This window comes from Homo sapiens, chromosome 6 (assembly GCF_000001405.40).
Source record: "Homo sapiens chromosome 6, GRCh38.p14 Primary Assembly".
In the NCBI taxonomy this organism is placed as follows: Eukaryota; Metazoa; Chordata; class Mammalia; order Primates; family Hominidae; genus Homo; species Homo sapiens.
This window is the reverse complement of record NC_000006.12, coordinates 64,370,061-64,394,293: the sequence shown is the minus strand read 5'-3', so window position 1 is coordinate 64,394,293 and position 24,233 is coordinate 64,370,061. Positions and strand designations below refer to the sequence as shown.

The 24,233-nt window shown below is 37.0% G+C and overlaps 1 protein-coding gene across 2 annotated transcripts in view; it reads left to right on the top strand.

Moving 5' to 3' along the window:
- EYS (eyes shut homolog) overlaps positions 1-24,233 on the top strand; it is a 1,987,247-nt gene that overhangs the window by 1,312,933 nt on the left and 650,081 nt on the right. For both annotated transcript variants that reach the window (NM_001142800.2, NM_001292009.2), the window contains exon 29: positions 5,454-5,604. In NM_001142800.2, the coding sequence (NP_001136272.1) occupies positions 5,454-5,604 (151 nt within the window). The remainder of the gene's footprint in view (positions 1-5,453; positions 5,605-24,233) is intronic.

The window sequence follows — 24,233 nt, the reverse complement described above, 5'->3', positions numbered from 1 at the left end:
ATGAATTTTAAAGTAGTTTTTTCCAATTCTGTGAAGAAAGGCATTGGTAGCTTGATGGGGATGGCAATGAATCTGTAAATTACCTTGGGCAGTATGGCCATTTTCACAATATTGATTCTTCCTACCCATGAGCATGGAATGTTCTTCCATTTGTTTCTGTCCTCTTTTATTTAATTGAGCAGTGGTTTGTAGTTCTCCTTGAAGAGGTCCTTCACATCCCTTGTAAGTTTGATTCCTAGGTATTTTATTCTCTTTGAAGCAATTGTGAATGGGAGTTCACTCATGATTTGGCTCTCTGTTTGCTGTTATTGGTGTATAAGAATGCTTGTGATTTTTGTACATTGATTTTGTATCCTGAGACTTTGCTGAAGTTGCTTATCAGCTTAAGGAGATTTTGGGCTGAGACAATGGGGTTTTCTAGATATACAATCATGTCGTCTGCAAACAGGGACAATTTGACTTCCTCTTTTCCTAAATGAATACCATTTATTTCCTTCTCCTGCCTAATTGCCCTGGCCAGAACTTCCAACACTATGTTGAATAGGAGTGGTGAGAGAGGGCATCCCTGTCTTGTGCCAGTTTTCAAAGGGAATGCTTCCAGTTTTTGCCCATTCAGTATGATATTGGCTGTGGGTTTGTCATAGATAGCTCTTATTATTTTGAAATACGACCCATCAATACCTAATTTATTGAGAGTTTTTAGCATGAAGGGTTGTTGAATTTTGTCAAAGGCCTTTTCTGCATCTATTGAGATAATCATGTGGTTTTTGTCTTTGACTCTGTTTATATGCTGGATTACATTTATTGATTTGCATGTGTTGAACCAGCCTTGCATCCCAGGGATCAAGCCCACTTGATCATGGTGGATAAGCTTTTTGATGTGTTGCTGGATTCGTTTTGCCAGTATTTTATTGAGGTTTTTTGCATCAATGTTCATCAAGGATATTGGTCTAAAATTCTCTTTTTTTGTTGTATCTCTGCCTGGTTTTGGTATCAGAATGATGCTGGCCTTATAAAATGAGTTAGGGAGGATTCCCTCTTTTTCTATTGATTGGAATGGTTTCAGAAGGAATGGTACCAGTTCCTCCTTGTACCTATGGTAGAATTCGGCTGTGAATCCCTCTGGTCCTGGACTCTTTTTGGTTGGTAAGCTATTGATTATTGCCACAATTTCAGATCCTGCTATTGGTCTATTCAGAGATTCAACTTCTTCCTGGTTTAGTCTTGGGAGAGTGTATGTGTCGAGGAATTTATCCATTTCTTCTAGATTTTCTACTTTAGTATTTGCGTAGAGGTGTTTGTAGTATTCTCTGATGGTGGTTTGTATTTCTGTGGGATTGGTGGTGATATCCCCTTTATCATTTTTTATTGCGTCTATTTGATTCTTCTCTCTTTTTTTCTTTATTAGTCTTGCTAGCGGTCTATCAATTTTGTTGATCCTTTCAAAAATCCAGCTCCTGGATTCATTAATTTTTTGAAGGGTTTTTTGTGTCTCTATTTCCTTCAGTTCTGCTCTGATTTTAGTTATTTCTTGCCTTCTGCTAGCTTTTGAAAGTGTTTGCTCTTGCTTTTCTAGTTATTTTAATTGTGATGTTAGGGTGTCAATTTTGCATCTTTCCTGCTTTCTCTTGTGGGCATTTAGTGCTATAAATTTCCCTCTACACACTGCTTTGAATGCGTCCCAGAGATTCTGGTATGTTGTGTCTTTGTTCTCATTGGTTTCAAAGAACATCTTTATTTCTGCCTTCATTTCTTTATGTACCCAGTAGTCATTCAGGAGCAGGTTGTTCAGTTTCCATGTAGTTGAGCGGTTTTGAGTGAGTTTCTTAGTCCTGAGTTCTAGTTTGATTGCAGTGTGGTCTGAGAGATAGTTTGTTATAATTTCTGTTCTTTTACATTTGCTGAGGAGAGCTTTACTTCCAAGTATGTGGTCAATTTTGGAATAGGTGTGGTGTGATGCTGGAAAAAAATGTATATTCTGTTGATTTGGGGTGGAGAGTTCTGTAGATGTCTATTAGGTCTGCTTGGTGCAGAGCTGAGTTCAATTCCTGGGTATCCGTGTTGACTTTCTGTCTCGTTGATCTGTCTAATGTTGACAGTGGGGTGTTAAAGTCTCCCATTATTAATGTGTGGGAGTCTAAGTCTCTTTGTAGGTCACTCAGGACTTGCTTTATGGATCTTGGTGCTCCTGTATTGGGTGCATATATATTTAGGATAGTTAGCTCTTCTTGTTGAATTGATCCCTTTACCATTATGTAATGGCCTTCTTTGTCTCTTTTGATGTTTGTTGGTTTAAAGTCTGTTTTATCAGAGACTAGGATTGCAACCCCTGCCTTTTTTTGTTTTCCATTTGCTTGGTAGATCTTCCTCCATCCTTTTATTTTGAGCCTATGTGTGTCTCTGCACATGAGATGGGTTTTCTGAATACAGCACACTGAAGGGACTTGACTGTTTACCCAATTTGCCAGTCTTTGTCTTTTAATTGGAGCATTTAGCCCATTTACATTTAAAGTTAATATTATTATGTGTGAATTTGATCCTGTCATTATGATGTTAGCTGGTTATTTTGCTCGTTAGTTGATGCAGTTTCTTCCTAGTCTTGATGGTCTTTACATTTTGGCATGATTTTGCAGCGGCTGGTACGGGTTGTTCCTTTCCATGTTTAGCGCTTCCTTCAGGAGCTCTTTTAGGGCAGGCCTGGTGGTGACAAAATCTCTCAGCATTTGCTTGACTGTAAAGTATTTTATTTCTCCTTCGCTTATGAAGCTTAGTTTGGCTGGATATGAAATTCTGGGTTGAAAATTCTTTTCTTTAAGAATGTTGAATATTGGCCCCCACTCTCTTCTGGCTTGTAGGGTTTCTGCCGAGAGATCTGCTGTTAGTCTGATGGGCTTCCCTTGGAGGGTAATCCGACCTTTCTCTCTGGCTGCCCTTAACATTTTTTCCTTTATTTCAACTTTGGTGAATCTGACAATTATGTGTCTTGGAGTTGCTCTTCTCGAGGAGTATCTTTGTGGCGTTCTCTGTATTTCCTGAATCTGAATGTTGGCCTGCTTTGCTAGATTGGGGAAGTTCTCCTGGATAATATCCTGCAGAGTGTTTTCCAACTTGGTTCCATTCTCCCCATCACTTTCAGGTACACCAATCAGTCGTAGATTTGGTCTTTTCACATAGTCCCATATTTCTTGGAGGCTTTGCTCCTTTCTTTTTATTCTTTTTTCTCTAAACTTCCCTTCTCGCTTCATTTCATTCATTTCATCTTCCATCACTGATACCCTTTCTTTCAGTTGATTCGCATCGGCTCCTGAGGCTTCTGCATTCTTCACGTAGTTCTCGAGCCTTGGTTTTCAGCTCCATCAGCTCCTTTAAGCACTTCTCTGTATTGGTTATTCTAGTTATACATTCTTCTAAATTTTTTTCAAAGTTTTCAACTTCTTTGCCTTTGGTTTGAATGTCCTCCCGTAGCTCAGAGTAATTTGATCGTCTGAAGCCTTCTTCTCTCAGCTCGTCAAAGTCATTCTCCATCCAGCTTTGTTCCGTTGCTGGTGAGGAACTGCGTTCCTTTGGAGGAGGAGAGGCGCTCTGCTTTTTAGAGTTTCCAGTTTTTGTGTTCTGTTTTTTCCCCATCTTTGTGGTTTTATCTACTTTTGGTCTTTGATGATGGTGATGTACAGATGGGTTTTTGGTATGGATGTCCTTTCTGTTTGTTAGTTTTCCTTCTAACAGTCAGGACCCTCAGCTGCAGGTCTGTTGGAATACCCTGCCCTGTGAGGTGTCAGTGTGCCCCTGCTGGGGGGTGCCTCCCAGTTAGGCTGCTCCGGGGTCAGGGGTGAGGGACCCACTTGAGGAGGCAGTCTGCCCGTTCTGAGATCTCCAGCTGCGTGCTGGGAGAACCACTGCTCTCTTCAAAGCTGTCAGACAGGGACATTTAAGTCTGCAGAGGTTACTGCTGTCTTTTTGTTTGTCCGTGCCCTGCCCCCAGAGGTGGAGCCTACAGAGGCAGACCGGCCTCCTTGAGCTGTGGTGGGCTCCACCCAGTTGGAGCTTCCTGGCTGCTTTGTTTACCTAATCAAGCCTGGGCAATGGCGGGCACCCCTCCCCCAGCCTCGCTGCCTCCTTGCAGTTTGATCTCAGACTGCTGTGCTAGCAATCAGCGAGACTCCGTGGGCGTAGGACCCTCGGAGCCAGGTGCGGGATATAATCTCGTGATGTGCCGTTTTTTAAGCCCGTTGGAAAAGCGCAGTATTCGGGTGGGAGTGACCCGATTTTCCAGGTGCCATCCATCACCCCTTTCTTTGACTCGGAAAGGGAACTCCCTGACCCCTTGCACTTCCCAAGTGAGGCAATGCCTTGCCCTGCTTCGGCTGGCGCACGGTGTGCACACCCACTGACCTGCGCCCACTGTCTGGCACTCCCTAGTGAGATGAACCCGGTACCTCAGATGGAAATGGCAGAAATCACCCATCTTCTGCGTCGCTCACGCTGGGAGCTGTAGACCGGAGCTGTTCCTATTCAGCCATCTTGGCTCCTCCCAAGAATGTGTACTATTATTTTGAAAAGGATTATGATAAAGCTTACTTGCTTGGTTAATAGATAAATTGAATAGTGCATCTACCAACTTTTTCTATAAGGGTTAGATAGTAAATATTTTTGGGCTTTTGGGACTTAAAGTCTTGTTTCAATTATTCAATTCTGTTATGAAAAAACCCATAGACTATATGTAAAGAAACATATGGCTGTGTGCCAATTAAAGTTTATTTACTTAGAGATGACAGGCAAGATTTGGCCTAGGGTATAGTTTGCCAATCTCTGGATTAAACAATTAGTTAAACATATGGCTAGAGTAAATGACACATGCATATCTACATGTTAAAGTATTGACAAAGTATTTTGTCTTTTTCATCTTTCTAAAAGAATGGGCATATGGAAATTATTACTCTGATCTCCCTAATTAAGTTATATTTGATTTATTCATTTGTTAATTTTTCTGTGCTTTGCTTATTGGTATAATTTATATTTCTACAACTAATTACTGTCTGCAATATATCTGTTTTCCACCTAAGTATATATTGTACACTGTATGACTGCATTGAAATTTGATTCTTTTTAATATTTTTCACTCATACAGAAAATTTAATAATGTAAAAAGCTAAAATGGAATATTATAATCCATCATTGTTTCAGTTACAATTGAGAAAGATCTGTTTATCAGGATTTATTTATTTCATTGGTTGATTGCTATAATTTGTTGTTTTGTCAAACTGTAACTTTGTGTTTATGTACTTAAAGCATTAAGGATTCTAATTTATAACAGATTAATCTGCTTCTGGCTTTGTTTTATTGTGAAATAATCTATTTACTTAAATTATTCTTTTGATAATAGTTTAATTAATTTGTCAGATAAATGTTTATATGACTTATACTAAAACCATTTCTTTCTTAAATGGTTACAGGCAAGAATTGGATCCATGTAACGCTGAGCTGACTATTTTAGGGAGGAATACACAAATATGCGAATCTATCAATCATGTACTCGGAAAACCCCTGCCAAAATCAGGATCTGTCTTCATTGGTGGATTTCCAGACCTTCATGGGAAAATCCAGGTATTTCTATAGATGTTTTAAAATATTAATTATTGAAAATAATTATTGAAAATCATCATATTGATAAATGAAAAAGAAAAACTTTAGAAATATTTTCTGGCTAGTGGGGCCATCTGCATGGTTTCAAAAAAGTTTTTGAGTGACTCTACTAACATATATATTTTTATCTATCATACCAAAGTATAATAGAAGTTTACTGTTCTTTTTAAAAAATTGCTCCAATGTCAGTCTGTTTTTCCATCTTATGGCTATAGTATGTGTATTACATTTCTCAATACTATTTAGCATGTGTGATTTGTCCACTAAGATAGTGATTTTCACTGGATATTTCAAAAGATTCACTTAATAACACACCAAAAATATAGTTTGAGAAAAGGAATTGGAAGACCATCCCCAGTCTGTGTTTTGTATGAGATTACCAAAATGTGAGAACATTTATTACAGAGTTTTTCCCACATGCCAGCCCACTCTTTAAATTTCCATTTAGATAATTAGCTTATTGTCTTCATTATTAAGCTATATTTAAGGAAAATAGCTTGAAAGCTGACTTAAATGCTATTATTTGGTTCCATTTTATGTTGTTGCAGCAAATTGCTTTAAAAATTGAAGGTTGTTAAGTATACCAGTAGCTTATTACATTTATTAATCTTTTCCCTTATTATATTTACCATTGCATTTTACCTGTTTGAACATACTATTTTTATATTATTGGAAATATAAAATGCTATTGTTTCACAGTCCCACAAATAATGCAAATTGGTATACATACATCTAGTTACTGTAAATATCATGACTCCGTAGTATACAAGATAAAATAAAACAAAAATAGACATAAAAACAAAATTGACGAGCATATTTGATGTGATACATATGCCTTTAAGGAAATAAGATAATTCTGTATCTGTAAGCACGCAGAGATTTAGATTCAGATTTACTCCATTAGCAGTATGTTTATTGATCATTAAACAGATATTTGTGACTTTTTCTATAACATTAATGTGCTTCATTGACTTTTTCGTAAATGAAACCATTCTAAAAGTTCCATGATAGTAAAAAATATGTTTTGTTTATTTTTTTATACACCAAGGCAAGGACAGTTCCTGTCACATTGTTGGAGTTCAATGAACAGCTTTTAAATAAAGGCCTCAGTTAAAGAATGGATGAAACATAAATAAAACCTTTCATAAATTACATTTGTCCTCTTATTTCATAACTATACTTTTTCCCAAATAAAATATAAATTTTAATATAAAACTAAATTTAATTGAGTATACATTAATTGAGTGTAATATCTCAACTCAATTAGCTACCCCTGAATATAAATATAGCTGAGCATTTACTTTATTATAAATATAAACATGCAGAAGCAATATAGAAAAATAGAAAAAGATGTCTTCTGACCTCTCTGAAGAAGTAGAGGAGTTGTAATTAGAAATTTGAAGAAAGATCAAGTGTCTTCCTTGTAAATAATATGTAGGCTGTCATTGTAGACAGAGACAATATTACATATACACAGACTTAGGTAATGGAAAGGTCTGAGGGATGGGGAGGTGGAGTAGACATAATTTATTATTATGGAGACATGGGGTTTGATATGAAGTGAGCAGAAAGAACACTTGATTTTGGATAGGTGAGTGGGAGCCAGAGAATAATTAATCCTATGTAAAATGCAAAATGGTATATATTTACATATTGCTGCCATATACATATACTATACATTACATACTTCTTAAATGGGGGAGCCATTTAAAAAGTTTGAGTAGGAATTGTCATCATGCTATGTTCACTCTGATAGCAACCAAAGTGTACAACTGGAGGGGTTAGGACTACATCGTAAGAAATGGCAAAGTCAGGTTTGTTCAGAATAATTAAACAAAAAAGGTATTTTGGCAATAAGGGTGGGAGAATAATTATGAATGCTATTGAACTTAAAAATAATTATTGGCAAAAAATATATAGAAAATTTGGAATTTTAATGACCAGGTTGGCTTATGTAACCATAGAATTTATAGTCCCATTCTCAAAATGGGGAATGAATCTAGGATTATTTATAGGGAAAACGGCAGGTTTATCATTGCATTTGAGTTGCTGATATGGTTTGGCTGTGTCCCTACCTAAATCTCACCTTGAGTTGTAATAATCTCCATGTGTCAAGGGTGGGGCCAGGTGGAGATAATTGAATCATGAGGGTAGTTCTGTTCCCCATACTGTTCTCCTGGTAGTGAATAAGTCTCAGGAGATGTGATGGTTTTGTAAATGGGGGCTCCCCTGCACAAGCTCTCTTGCCTGATGCCATATAAGACGTGACTTTGCTCCACATTTGCCTTCCACTGTGATTGTGAGGCCTCACCAGCTGTGTGGAACTGTGAGTCAATTAAACCTCTTTCCTTTATCAATTACCCTGTCTCAAGTATGTCTTTATTAGCAATGTGAGAACAGACTAATACAGTTGCTTTTGGGCAGAAATGATTTTCAAATATTTAACAACTGGCTTGCCATCACCACTAATCCATCAGTCCTTTGTGTGTGTTCCTGCTGAATATCATTCCTATTAGTGGAATGTTGTGAGGCACAAGTCATTTGAAATACGGGCCTTCGGTTCACAAAAGATCATTAACATATGGCTGTGGGAGTCTGCACAGGAGATGGTGGAAGCCATAATAACTGATTGAATTGATTTTGAGGATTAAAATAAAAGAAGGCTGAGAATTGGGAATCAGCAATCAAGAACTAGGCTAAGAAAGAGGTACATGCCAAATTAGTTAAGGAATAGAGAGGCTGGCCGTAGACAAAGGAAAAAAATGTCACAAGAACCAAAGATGGAAAAAGAAGCATCTGTTGAACACCAATGTTACAAAAGTTCACCCACCAGTTTCTGGAGAAAAAATGTTAACAAAAATCAAATTGTAATATTCTGAGGAAGAATAAATGAACTGGAAGAAGCAACAGAGTGGTTTTAGGTTATTTTTCTAGAAGCTTGTTAATAAGTCAGAGAGGTTGTTATGTAGGGGAGGACAGAGTTTTGAAATTGCAGAAAGATGATGATAATAATTGACTAAATTTCGAAAGACTTTTTCTCCTAAAACCTTGTCTGAAACATTGGCCTTTACTAAAGGATTATCTCACTAAAAAACTCGACATTCATCCTGTGATGTAAGGGAACTGGACATTTGTTATAATCAAATTTGGAGGAACATTCAGTATTTGGACCAATAAAGTTACCTTGAAATTAAAAAGGCAGCCAGCTAAGCAGGTTTTCCCTCCTTGTTAAATATGCTGTAGTTGAAAGATTTTATGTCAGCCCCTCATTGATTTTTTATTCTTTTTTATACTGTTACAGTGTCACAGTAACTATGTGTGTATGTGTGTGTGCTAGAATATGTATCTGAGACATACACTTATATTGCTATATACCAGATGACTGATACAAACTGTAAAATGTATCTAGATGATAATTCTTAAAGAGAACTCGTATGATGAATCAGAAAAAGAAAGATAGGAAATTCAGCCTTCTGAATATGTTTCTGGGCAATGCAGCTCCTCTGAATATCTAAGTATCATGCAGGCTCTATCTAATCATTGTGTTCTGATTAAAAGCTGTTTAAGCACAGTAGGCTGTTAGTGCTCAGAAAATTAAAAACAACAGGTTTGTAATATAAAACACTAAGGAAAAGAACTATAGTTGATTCCTCGAGCCAAAAAGTGTTAAGTTACATTTATGCTCTCACCCCTAAGTTTCCAATAATGTCTTTCTGAACTGGCCAGAGCCCCTCCACATGATAAGAGTCCCTAATCCAATGTGTATGTGCTGACAGGTTGTTTAATGCTTCCTTTAACAAAATCACCCAGAGCTCAGGATGTGAGAAGAGAATGAAACAGACACTTTCAATTTTGTGCCTGGGGTGTGAAAAACTCTGCTTCCCCTGATGACCATAAATGATGATAACTTTCAAGGTCTGAGAGTAAATGCCTTCTCTCTGGTGGTAGAAAAACACTTTCCTTGGTAGTGCTTTAATTGCTTACACTTTTCAGTGCATGGACTCTTGCTTTCGGGTCCAAGTTAGTTAAGGACACCAAATCTTAATTCCTAGTAAATGCAGATGTTACCAGCTATTCTCTTTGCTAAGTATGAGAGGAAATAAAATAATTATGGAAATAAATAAATATTGTTAATCAATTAGATTTGTTTTTTATATATGCAGAAGTTGATATTATAAGTTCTAGAAAGATGCTACCTTTTTTTCAGATGTAAGTAAGTCACTAGGATTGAAAACACATGTGTGATTGCATGTACTATTATATTTGACTGGAATTTTTGAAGAATTAGTGACCGACTCCAAAAATGTAAACATTATCTTAATTTTCAAATTAGTTTATAATTTCAACACAGTAAAGAAGTTTAACAATTTAATTTTTTTTAATTTCTAGTGAATCCATTTGGAAATAGGGACACTGGTAAAGCAAATGAGTGTTATGCACTTCAGGTATGTTCAAGACATTGACTTACAAAGTCAATAATTAGTTTGCTCCATTCACTTTTATAAAAAGCCCTGTCAATCATTAGCCATCAAAATCCTTTAGCCAAAATAAATTACTATGAAATGTCTAAAACATAAAAACAGGATTCTCTTTAAGGACTTGTGAGAGATTCCTGAAAAACAAATGAAGAAAGAAACCACTTCAGTTATCTGTAGAAAATTTGGGTTGCTTATATTACTTGTCCCAGCTTATCAAGTTAGAGACATTATATGTATCTAGTGGCACCTCACTAAATGTGTTTATGATATTCTGTAAAAGGATGCGTGTCAACCTTTTTCAGCTCTTCAAAGACACTTGTCTAATGGACACAAAATAATTAGAAAAAATTAAAACACACCATTGAAGAAATCAAGAAAGGTAACAACATTCAACACTTTTGGGTTTTGTAAATTACAGGGATAAAAGTTAATCATTACCCTGTCCTCATTTTCTGTCCAACAATGTGTAAAAAGAGAATCACTGCACAACAAATGTAAGTCTCTTAAATAGCCATTTATAGGGGTCCACTTACTGGTGAAAATAAACCCAAACCTCTGATAAACATAAGCAAAGTAATAGAGACATCAAGGTTTCACTACCATGTTTTATGACCCATTGCTCCTTCTAGAAGTTATGTGGTAAATGATTCATTCATTCACCCATCTGCTTATTCCGCTGGACTACCATTTGGACTTGGGCATCTGGTGTCTATTCTGCTGAGGGCACTGAATCACAAGTCAAGACATTATCAGATGCAGACTCATCCAATAAGAATTATTTCCCATTCCTTGCACGTATAAGAATCACTCTCAATTTACAATTTATTCCTACATGAGGACCCACCTTATTTTTTGTTTGTTTGTTTGTTTTGAGACAGGTTCTCACTTTTGTCACCCAGGCTGAAGTGCACTGGTGCAATCTTGGCTCACTGCAGCCTCGACCTCCTGAGCTCAAACAATCTTCCCACCTCAGCCCCCCTAGTAGCTGGGACTACAGGCATGTACCACCATACCCTGCTATTTAAATTTAATTTAATTTTTATTTTTTGTAGATATGGGGTTTCTCTATGTTTCCCAGGCTTGTCTCAAACTCCTGAGCTCAAGTGATCCATCCACCTTAGCCTCCCAAATAGCTAGGATTACAAGCATGAGCCACCGTGCCCAGGCAGGCCTTGCCTTTCTTAGTGAGACAACAATACACCATGGATTGGACTCCACTCCCTGGAGCAGCAGAAACTGGCTCCTACCCAACAGAAGGAAACCTCTTTTCCCACCACTCCACTTTTTCCCACCCACCACTCTTCCCATTTTTTACTCTGATGCATCTTTTTTTCAGCTCTGCATCTATGTATTCCTGCCCTTATAAAACTCTTGAGTGCCAATAGTCCGGAAGGGCCTGTCCCTGGATCTGTCTCCACTCAAGATTCTCTCTTAATCTGTGTGTTTTCAACATCCTTCGGACCTCTGTTTGATCTCTCCATTTGTGTGTGCTTCTAGTTTGAAACGGTCTCCATTCATTTAATCATAGTTTCTTCTATTCAAGCACTCTCTGGTTTAGATGTACCACTGTATTTATATCATCCTAATTATTTAATCTAATTAGAAAATGCAGAAATAAACTGTACACTTGCACATGTAAACCTATGAAGATGTGAGAGGGAGAGTCAAACATCAGCCTCAGACTTCTGGATTAAGCAACTAAATGGAGGTGAGGGTCATCATTAAGATGGGGAAGATTGAGAAGAAAATATTTAGGGGAGAATAACAAGATAATTAGTTTGGACACTTTTAAGTTTGAGGTGTTTCTGAGGCTTGTAGGGAAGGTTACCAAGTTAACACTTACATTCATGATTCAGGAAGTTCTCAGGCTATAGTATTTAAATACGTGAGGCCAGATGACATAACCTCAGGAGAGAGTGAAGAGAATGAGATAGGAAGGTCCAGAACAAAGTCCTGAGGAAATCTGACATTTAATAAGAAAGTAATTCAATATCAGGCAGAAAAACAGGCAGAGGGGCAAGGGCACAGCCAAGAAAATGTATTATCATTAAAGCCAGAAGAACAAAGTTTTGAGAAGGAGGGGCTGTTCAATATTGCTGCAGTGAAGTCTAGCAAGAATAAGGGCTAAAACTGAAACCAAAAATGAAAAAACAAAATAGAATAAGGGCTGAAAGACATCCACTGGATTCTTTGATATGGATATTATTAATACACTTATAAAAGAAATGACCACCTCTATTAAAGCCCATGATGATGAGTAAAGGAACACCATCTGTATTCTTTTAAGAACTAATGTTTTGCCCTGACAAAAAGGGGATATTTTAGATGAATTTGCTTACTTAACTGATAAGTATGTAAATTGCAACTGCAGGGAAAAGTTTAATACATATATAGTTTTTCTAAATCTGCATTAAAAAACCATCTGGCATCACTTAAAAAGTTGAAGATGTACATATCCAATACACCAAAATTTTCCTGTTTAGGTGAAATTCTTTGATGTATATATAAGGAGACATGGTACTGGAATGTTCATAACAAAAGTCTTTATAATATAAAAAGTAAAAACAACAATAACGTCCACTTACAGTAGTATGTATACTGTATATACCAAAAAACATATGCAGTAGTGAAAATCAGTGATTCTCACCTGTACACATCAACATGAATACATCTCAAAAAAATAACATGGAAGAGAAAAAAAGAAAGTCATAAACAAATATCCCCATTATATAAATTTCCCAAATAGGAGAACTTAAACAATATGTAATCTCTGATATATTTTTGTGTGTATGTGTGTGTGTGCATATATATGTTTGGTAGATGATAAAGAAATAAAGGACTAGAAAACTTAGAAATCAGTACAGGGATAACCACGTAAGAACGGAGAAGAGATCAAAGAGTAGTTTTTAAGGCTCAAAGCAGGTATCACCATTGCTCATAATGCCTTATACTAACTAGGTAGAGTTAGTATAAAGAACCGTTAGTATAAAGAACGTTAGTATAAAGAAAGTTAGTAAAAAGAACATGCGTGTTCATTTTATCACTAGTCTTTAAAATACTTATATCCTCATATCCATTATATATTTGTATGCATATACACCTGTGGGTATTATACATGTAATATCTGTGTTGTAATCTTTTTTTTTTTTTTTTTCTGAGATGGAGTCTTGCTCTGTCACCCAGGCTGGAGTGCAGTGGCACGATTTCTCGGCTCACTGCAACCTCCGCCTCCCGGGTTCAAGCAATTCTCCTGCCTCAGCCTCCTGAGTGGCTGGGATTACAGGTACCCACCACCACTCCTGGCTGCTTTTTGTATTTTTAGTAGAGACGGGTTTCGCCATATTTGCAAGGCTGGTCTCGAACTCCTGACTTCACGATCCACCTGCCTTGGACTCCCAAAGTGCTGGTATTATAGGCGTGAGCCACCCTGCTCGGCCATAATCTTTATTTTTTAAAGTGCCTGTATTATAACAATCAGTGCTAAAATTATTTGGTGTATAGCAATTTAATTTTACCAGATTCATACCAATAATTACATTAAGTTAAATAGTCTAACTTCAATTTTATGACTTTGTGGACTTGTTTCTATTTAGCTTGTCAAATTGTTTTGGTTTTATAATTTTGTGAGGCAATAAATATGAGGAAATTGTATCTAAGTTTATATTTCACATAAAGTGTATAAAATAGTAATATTTTACTAAAATTAGTAGTAAGGGAATACTGAAGATTTCTGAAACTTATTTTTCTGTGAAAAATGTCCGTACATCACTCAGCTTTGAGCAACATCAGTACTGAGTTTGAAAAGTGATGAAGCTATAAATGAAAAGAAACCAGATAGAGGGCCAAGTAGTTTCCTACAGCTATTATACATGAGGTGATTATTGAAATCCCAAACACAAATTAACACATTTACATTTGTTTGTACAAGTTGTTGTTTCAAGCATATAGTTATTAAGCATGCTTCATAGCCTTTTGGTACTCAAGCCAAAATCTTTACCCTCAGAGAGAATGATGTCTATAATGTAATGCTCTGTAACTCTGCCTGGAATAAAAAAAAAATTGAAGTTGCAAATCAGCAAATATTGCTACATGGGGGAAAATCTATATTTTAATAAATTTATATTCTTTTCCCAGACACAATTTGAGTTGATAGAAAAAATACCAGGCTTGAAACAAGGACACCTGATTTTTAGTCATGCCTCTGCCAAAAAATAATGAGTTTTGTGACATTGTTAACCATTACTTGAAATCTCTTTCCCCTAAGCTACTCTTCCATAAATGATGAAGTTGGACTACGTTATTTTTTTAAGTTTATTCCAGTTCACGATGATTCTATGCATATATATGTAGGCATATGTACATATATATGTCACATACCATTTCCTCAGCATATAAATTGCACAGACATTCTTTGTATTAAGATATTATCTCAGTCACAAATTCTATTGTGTTCCGCTCACCTAAGATCACCTCACTTTCATGTGATATCCCTGAGGACACTTCTTGAGAGACTCCCATCTGGTGTTCCTTCTGTTCTGCTTAAATTTTCACTTAATTCTAAAAGATCTCAAAGGCTTTTCATTTTAAAACTAACAAAAACAAATCAACAAAACCATATAATAACACATCTCAGGTCTATAGTTTAAACTACGAAATAAATTTACAGAAGAAAATAGAGACAAATGAATATATATTCACTTTTTTCTATGTTAATAGATTTATCAAATCAAAGTCCATCAATATTCCCTTGCAAGTGGTTAGGGAAAAATGGGTAAAGTAAAACAAGAAGTAATCTGGTTTATATTAGTTAGGGAATTCTAGTAATATAGATCACAATTTAAAAACCCTGTTTAATTTTGCAGTGTGGTCTATGTAACTCAACAGCAAGTAAAATAAAATCAATTTTTGGCTTAAGTGCTTTGGGGCTATTAATTTGGGAGATAGTTTTCTAGTGAAATTTAAGGACTTAAGGCTAATTTAGCTAAAGGCTATAGAACAGAAACCCCAGGTGAATGATCTTACATAAGAAAATCATAATGTAAAATTTAAGGAGGGTGAGAACTGAAAAAAATATGTGAAGCATGAATTTAGAGAATTTTCAGCATAATCCATAAAGATAAAAATAAAGTACTTTGTAAAGTCAATTGTAAAATATTACATTGCTTTATCAGTAACTACACTGCTCCTTCGAAGACAGAAACTGAACAGTATCTAGTTACAGGGCATGATATGACAAAACTAGCTTTCTGATAATTAAAAACCAATCCTCTTAGTGCTAAGACTTTGTCAACTTAAGGTTTTTGAGATATGCTCCATTTTCTCCATGACATGCAATAGTGCTTTCTTATGAAGCCAGTAATATCACTACAAGTGCTAACTCAAAAGGGCCAGTAGAGATGTGGGATTAAGAATTGTAGGTCTGGAGTTGGATTCCTAGCTCCCTCAATTCATTGCCATGGTGCCTTGGACAAGCCATTTATGCTTGCTTGGGCTTTTTCTTTACCTGCAAAATAGAGACTCTACCTTCTTAAGGTTTAAGGAAGAATGATTAAGATATTGCACATTTAACACTTAATAACTGTTATCCTTTACTATTATTTTAAGTTTCCCCCCAGCATTGATATTTCATTCTACTCTGTGCTAATCAAACATAAAACAATAATTTTGAAGTTATTTCTAGTCCTATATACTCCATTCTGGAAATGAAAGTTTAGAAATTGACTGTGATGCATAAATAGAAGCTCATGTTATGAAGCATTTGATCCTAGTTCATATGCTAATATTAATAATTTTTTAAATATTTAGTTTAAAAATAATTATCATTTTGGTTTTCTAAAATACTCACCATGTTTTATTTTTATATTACTTAGAAAAACAGATTAATGAATATTCAGCCTGCTGGTATTTAAGACAGTGTAACTTGTCTACCCTTCTAGAATAAGAAAACAAAAATTATTTTCATACTTCCATGAAATCTTGTTCTTCACTGTCACTGATGTTGTCTGTTAACCATTCCTCAGGCTTTGACACTATATCCATTAATCTTTATTATTAAAGGGAGGAAACACATCATGTATACAACATTAAAGGACATTCATGCACTCATTCAACAAGTAAGCAAGCATTCTGGAGCATGTAGCTTTTTTTGTTTGTTTGTTTGTTTGGCTAGGGTCAGCTGTAAGTTCATTACAAATATTAGCTCATTTAATCCTTACAACAACCCAGTAGATGCGTACTTACCCATATTTTACAGCTGAGGAAATTGAAGCACAGCAATAACAAGTAATTTGTTCAAGCTTATACAACTAGGCAGTGATGGTATGAGGATTTGAACCCAGTCAGCATAGCTCCAACATCTACTTTATTGTAAATCTCGCTTGCTTTGCTTATTAGACCACAATGGAGAGATCGGGTCTGATGTTTCAGCCATGTAAGATCATTTTGGAAGCTCATTTGTTCATTAAAAAAAAATCAAAAACACAACTTTACAAAATGCCTTTATAAAATTATTGTCCTTCTAATAGTAGTTAATAGTTATTAAGCACATTCCCTTTGGTAAATACTCTTATAATTGCTTCACATTTACTATCTCAATGTTTTAAGTAACTCTTTGCAGTAAGTAATATTAGTATCTCCATTTCACAGATAAGGGAATTGAGGCACAGAGAGGCTGAATGGCCTGACTTTAGTTACACAGTCATTGAATACAAGGGCCAAAATTCAAACCCACACTTTTAAAACCTACGCTATACTGCCTCACTACAAATAACAAAGTCAAACACCTTTTACCCAAACCATTGTTTTGGGTCTACTTTGAGTGACTTTTAATGCAATGTCTGTTTTAAACAAAGTTTTAAAAGCATTTAGTATTATAACAAATTTAAAAATCCTAATATGTTTCTTTGGATTCACTATCTATGGACGCTCCTTTTGAATCAGTTCATATTCTGAAAAAGATCTTAATTCATTAGTATGCTTTTTTTCAATGAGATAAGAGCTGACAAAAATAAATGAGAAATTCATTCATTTATTAATCCAACAAATGTATCTATCTATCTATCTATCCATCTATCTATCTATCTATCTATTCATCCAGCTAGAGAGTATCCACTATGTGCCAGGCATTATTCTGTGTTGGGGATTCACTGGTGAATAATCTCCATCTTCCTGGATCTTATGCATTAATGAAAATATTCACAAAGCCTTTCTCTGCCTTCTCAGGGTCAGTGTTTTAAGGTGAGGTAGTGGGTGTAGTCAAGGATATCAGCCAGGTTTCTGTTCTGGGCTGATTATGTAGCTGAGGAAACCTATCCTGAGATAGAAAATATAGGAAAGGAAGCAAGTCAATGAGAAAAGATGATAAATTCACTTTAAAAAAAATAAATTTTATTATGTATATTGGAGGCTTGTTGTAAGCCTCAAATGACGAATCTACTTTTGTACCAATTAGTCTAAAGTGCCTGTGGGAAAATCAGGTTGAGATTTCCCTGAGACAATGACTTCATCCCAGAGGCGATGTCTGATAGGTTAGCTGTAGTGGAAGCAATGAAAAGGAATGCGATTATCCTAGAGAGAGTGCAGAATTCTAAAGCCACCTCTCAGAAAACAAAATAGCTCAGGCCCCTCACATACCTTGTAGAAATTGTTGGAATTCTCAGTATGCGTGGAGCAGGGAAGTTTCTAAGATATTATGTCACCGACTTATTTCAGATTCTTCAGCCTCCTTTTATTCCAGTTTGCTAACACTGATTTTTCCCCAGTCCTTCATTTGCCTGGGTATTTATCCTCAGGGTTGTAATTCCATGTAGTTGTCCCCAGACCCCATTTTGTCTGTATCTTTAGTGTGAGTTCTTGTCTCTACCTAGAAGACCATCTCTAATTGCCCCCAGGAAGCTCCTGTTGTCCTGTCCTCCAATTCCTCAAGGAAGGTTTCCCTGACAATTAAGTCTGAGTTAACTTCCCCTAAACAGGATTCCACAGAAACCTGTAGATTTGTGTCTATTCTAGCAAATATTATCTTATTTTTACTGCAATCAGCACTTTGTCTTCTGTCCTCTTCCACTATGGTACATACTCTTTGAAATGATAGATCTTTCTTATTTTGCTTTGTAATCTCCATGGTTTTATCTGCCTCTAGAAGGACTCACAATTTTTTTATGGAATAGCAGGATATTGAATATAATTTTATTTTTGGTTTGTATTAATTTCAATGGAATAAAATTTAGTCTGCATTAGGCTCACTGGTAAAAATGAAAGAAAACACAATTGTTGACAAAAGGATACTCTTGCATTGATTTGGTATCATTTCTGTTGTTTGAGATTGTGTATTATAGAGCCTTATACAGAATGTATCATTTTTTAAACTTTCATATATATCTTTGCTTTTGTCTGTCTCCTTTCCTTTGTCCTTCTCTAAAAAACCTATTAATACAAAGTGGAGAAAATAATCTATAATAATCAAACCTCTTCTTTACTCCTCATTCTTACTACCATTGGCCAGAATTCCCTCTTTTTGCAAACTGTCTTGAGTCAATTTGGCTCTTCAGCTGTCTTCAGGTTTTTTGTAAGCACCTGAAGACTCTGGTAGGTAGATAGTATCTGCCATATCTCCTACCCCACACCCTCACCTGCATGTGGTATATTACAAAGAAAGCAAGCCTAGGTTAAACTCTGTCCAACATGCAAACATATATTAGCCGAGAGGCATAAATAGTTATTACCACCCTTTCATTTAGTCTGGAAAAATTTCACACTGTCCTTAAGCTCTTTAACTCATGTTTTCAATGAAGAGTTAATTTTGAGGCTAACATATGACATTCTGATGGCAGCAATAGCAAATCAGCATTGCGATATAGTCAAGTGACAGCTTCTGTAAAGTGGATGAAGAAAATGACAAATGAGGCTGCATACCAAAAGTCATTCTTTGCTTGCCATACATATTCTTATACTTAATTGGAAAATCTTTCTAAATGACCACAGGATTGGAAAATACTTATTCATATACTAATTAACAAAATATATTTTGTATTTTCATAAGGACATCTGAAGTATTAAGTAACCAATTTTTAAGTGTTACTTTCTGACTAAGATATTTATTTATTGCTTTGTAATGAACTAACTCCAAAACCTTAGTACTTAAAAATAACAGATATAACTTATTTCCTCACAGTTCTGCAATTTTGCTAAGAGTCAGTGAAGAGAACTCTTTTTTGCTCCACTTGGAATCTTTTAGGAATGAAATGTCCAAAATGACCTTTTCATTTACGTGTCTCAGCAAAGACAGTTGAAAAAGAAGACTGACTAGACTGCCGGCTCTCTCCCTCTCCCTGTCTCTGTCTCTCTCATTCTCTCCATAGTACCTTTCTGTATGCTTAGCTGGGACTACTTTACCGTTTGGCAGCTTCAGGGTACTAGATTTCTCCCAAACATAAAAGCATAAGCTAAGATGGGAGACGAGCAGCAGCTCTTGTATGCCACTCTCACGTAGAGGAAACAAAAGGGCCAGTGAGCAGTGGCCCTGTAAGGCTGATCATCTGAGAAACTAGTTGGGATCAATTAAAGCAGAAGGGGAACACAAGAAGCAGAGAAGAGCAAAGCTGGGCACCCGCCTATCTGGCCTCAGCATGGAGCTAGGAAAACATCTCCAACATGGGAAAGGGTGAATAAGTGAGAGTGCCCAGGGGCATTCATGCTCTCCACAGGGATCTGTGCAAGACTGGGATAGAGAAAATCCCCCAGCTCCCCTGCACCCACCCCACACCCACCAGCCTTCTACACTGAAGCAGAGAACCACTTGGATGTTATGCAGAGGTAATTCTCAAGTTCAAAAGGACTTCTACAAGCCTTGGGCCACAAAGCCTGCCAGCACTGGTGCCATAGACCCAATAGAGGCCATAGTTGTGGTGCCTCGTATTAGATTGCTCCAACCCCCAGGCCCTAACCCCCACACCACTCATCCCCCACCCCCCACACCTCCACCCTCCCATACCCCCCGCCAACCCTACCAAAGGGAATTTGGCACCAGCTTTCAGCCCAGTGGTCTCCCTTCACCCTGAACTGGGCCAGCCACTTTACCTGCCCCGCCACTAGTAGCCACGTAGGCAATGCTTGCTAGAGTTTCCAGCCAAGTGGTCCTGCTTCTGTGTGAACTCAACTGGAGAGTGCAGCTAGAAGCACCTGGAAGGGCAGGCATCCCCACACACCCCAGCTGCTGATAGCCAGGCAGCTAATGCCTATTAGCTCTTCTGACCCTGTGGTCCTGCTTCTGTAAAACTCAGCTGGAGAGCACGGCTTCTATTGTCCCAGGAAACATGGAAAGCAGGGTGCATGACCCACCCACCTCCACCGATAGCCAGGTGGGAAAAGCCTACTAGAGCTTCTGGTCCAACGGTCCTGCTTCTATGGGAACTTAGCTGGCAGGCATAGACTTCTTTTGTCCCTGGAGGAACCCAGATGCTCTACCCACCCCTCCTGCTGATAGCCAGGTGAGCCATACCTGCTAGAGCTTCTGGCTCAGCCGTCCTACTTCTTCCTGAATTTGCCAAGGGGCACAGCTTCCTGTTGCCTTGGAAACACCCGGATGGCAGGGCAGGCAACTCCACCCACACCAACCTCTCCTTGCTAGACAGGCTACACCCACTAGAGCTTCCAACCCAGTGGTCCCAATTCCACCTAAACTCTGCATGCAGGCACAATCCTCTGTTTCACATGAAGCACACAGACAGCAGTTTAGGGCCAACCTGACAATACAGCTTGTCTGCCAACAGCAGCCCCTGCCTGAAGGATCCTTGTGGGCCAGAACAAAAGAAATGTGGGCATGGAGACAGTAATCAGAGAGGGCTCCTCCAAGACCCAGGAGTGGACTAGAAGTGAAGCCATTCAACCAAGCACACCTATACCATAATCAACCCCTCAAAGAAGAAAACAACAACAACAATAAAATCCATCCAAAGGACAGCAACTTCAAAGATTGAAAGAACATAATCCCCACAAATAAGGAAAAAACAGCACAATAACTCTGGAAACTCAAAAAGCCAGAGTGTCTTCTTACCTCCAAACAACCACAATAGCTCCCTAGCAATGGTTCTCAACCAAGCTAAAATGGCTGAAATGTCAGAAACATAATTAAGAATATGGATAGGAATAAAGATTATCAACATACAGGAGAGAGTCAAAACCCAACCAAATCTAAGGATTACAATAAAACAGTATAGGAGCTGGTAGACAAAATGGCCATTATAAGAAAGAGCCAACTGATTTTATGGAGAAGAAAAACACACTAGAAAAATTTCATAATGCAATCACAAGTATTAACAGCAGAATTGACCAAACTTTAACAGCAGAATTGACCAAACTGAGGAAACAATCTCAGAGTTTAAATACTGGCTCTCCAAAATAAATTAGTCAGACAAAAATAAAGGAAAAACAATAAAGAATGAACAAAATCTCTGACAAATATGGGATTATGTAAAGAGACCAAATCTGTAACTCATTTGTGTCCCTGCAAAAGAGGGTTAAAAGCTAAGCAACTTGGAAATCACATTTCAGGATATCATCCATGAAAATTTCCCCAACCTTACTAGAGAGGTCAACATTCAAATCAAAATGCAGAGAAACCCTGCAAAATACTACACCATCCCCAAGAAGACCACCCCCAAGACACAGAGACATCAGATTCTCCAATGTGGAGATGAAAGAAAAAATGTTAAAGGCAGCTAGAAAGTAGGGGCAGGTTACCCACAGAGGATACCCTGTCAGGCTAACAGCAGACTTGTCAGCAGAAACCCTACAAATCAGAAGAGATTGGGGGCATATATTCAGCATTCTTAAAGAAAATAATTTTCATCCAAGGATTTCATATTCAGCCAAAGTAAGCTTCGTAAGCAAAGGAGAAATAAGACCCTTTTCAGCCAATCAAATGCTGAGAGAATTTTTTACCACCAGACCTACCTTACAAAAAGTCCTGAAGGGAGGGCTAAATATGGAAAGGAAAAGACCATTCCTGGCCACTACAAAAAAAAAAAAAAAAAAAAAAAAAAAAAACACAAGTATACAGACCAGTGATGCTATAAAGCAGCCACACAAACAAGTCTGCATAATAACCAGCTAACAACATGATGACAAGATCAAATCTGCACATGTCAATACATGTTCACTTGAAAGTGAACAGTCTAAATGCTTCAATTAAAAGGCACAGAGTGGAAGATTAGATAAAGAAGCAAAACCCAATGTTATTCTGTCTTCAGGAGACCAATCTCACACGCAGTGACACCCATAGGCTGAAATAAAAGGGATGGAGAAAAACCTACCATGCAAATGGAAAACAAAAAGGCAAGGGGTGCTCTTTTAATTTTAGACAACACAGATTTTAAACCAACAAGGATTTAAAAAAAAGACAAAGAAGTGCATTTACATAATGGTAAAGGTCTAATTCAACTAGAAGACCTAACTGTCCTAAAAAAATATGTACCCAACACAGGAGCATTCAGATTCATAGATCAAGCTCTTAGAGACCTAAAAAGAGACTTAGATGACCACAGAATAATAGTGGAAGACTTGAACACCCCATTGACAGTATTAGACAGATCATCAAGGCAGAAAATTAACAAAGATATTTGGGATCTCAATTCAACTTGACCAAATAGACCTAATAAACATACTATAGAACTCTCCTCCCAATACCAACAGAATATGCCTTCTTCTGATCCACACATGCCACATACGCTAAAATTACCCACACAATCAGGCATAAAACAATTCTCAATTAATTTCTAAAAACCCAAAATTGTTCCAACCATGCTCTCAGAATATGGCACAATAAAAATAGAAACCAATGCAAAAAAAAAAAACCAACCATAAAATTACATAGAAATCAAACAACCTGCTCCTGAATGACTTCTGGGTAAACAAAAAAATAAGTCAGAAATTAAGAAATTCTTTGAAACTAATGGAAAAACAATACAACATTCCAGAATCTCTGGGATATAGCCAAAGCAGTGTTCCAAGGGAAACTTATAGCACTAAACACTTACATCAAAAAGTTAGGAAGATCTCAAATAAACAACCTAACATCACAATTAGAGGAACTAGAAAAACAAGAGCAAACCAACCCCAAGGCTAGCAGAAGACAAGAAATAACCCAAATCATAGCTAAATTGAAGGAAAGTAAGATTCAAAAAACCATAAAGGATCAATGAATTTAGGAGCTTGCTCTTTGAAAGAATTAATATGATAGATAGACTGCTAGCTAGACTAATGAAGAAAAACAGAAGATCCAAATAAACGCAATCAGAAATGACAAAGGGGACATTGCCACTGAACCCACAGAAATACAAAAAACTGTCAGAGACTATTATGAACACTTCTATGCATGCGAGCTAGACAACATAGTAGAAATGGAAAAATTCCTGGAAACATACAACCACACAAGATTGAACCGAGAAGAGATTGAATCCCTGAACAGACCAATAACAAGTTCCAAAATTGAATCATTAATAAAAACCCTACAAACTAGAAATAACCCAGGACCAGATGAATTTACAGCCAAATTCTACCAGATGTATAAGGAAGAGCTGGTACTATTAATACTGAAACTATTCTGAAAAAATGAGGAGGGGGGATTTCTCCCTAACTCATTCTGTGAGGCCAAAATCATCTTGATGCCAAAACCTGGAAGAGACACAACATAAAAATAAAACTTTGGCCAATATCCTTGAAGAACATAGATGCAAAAATTCTAAACAAAACACTAGCAAACCAAATTCAGCAGCACATCAAAAAGCTAATCCACCATGATCAAGTAGGCTCTGTCTCTGGAATGCAAGGTTGGTTTAGCATACACAAATCAATAAATGTGATTCACCACATAAACAGAATTAAAAATAACCACATGGACATCACAATAGATAATGAAAAGGCTTTCAATAAAATCCACATCCCTTCATGTTAAAAACCCTCAACAAACTAGGCATTTGAAGGACAATACTTCAAAATAATAAGAGCCATCTATGACAAATACATAGTATCATACTGAATGGGCTAAAGCTGGAAATAATCCCCTTGAAAACTGGCACAAGACAAGGATGCCCTCTCTCACCACTCCTATTCAGTAGT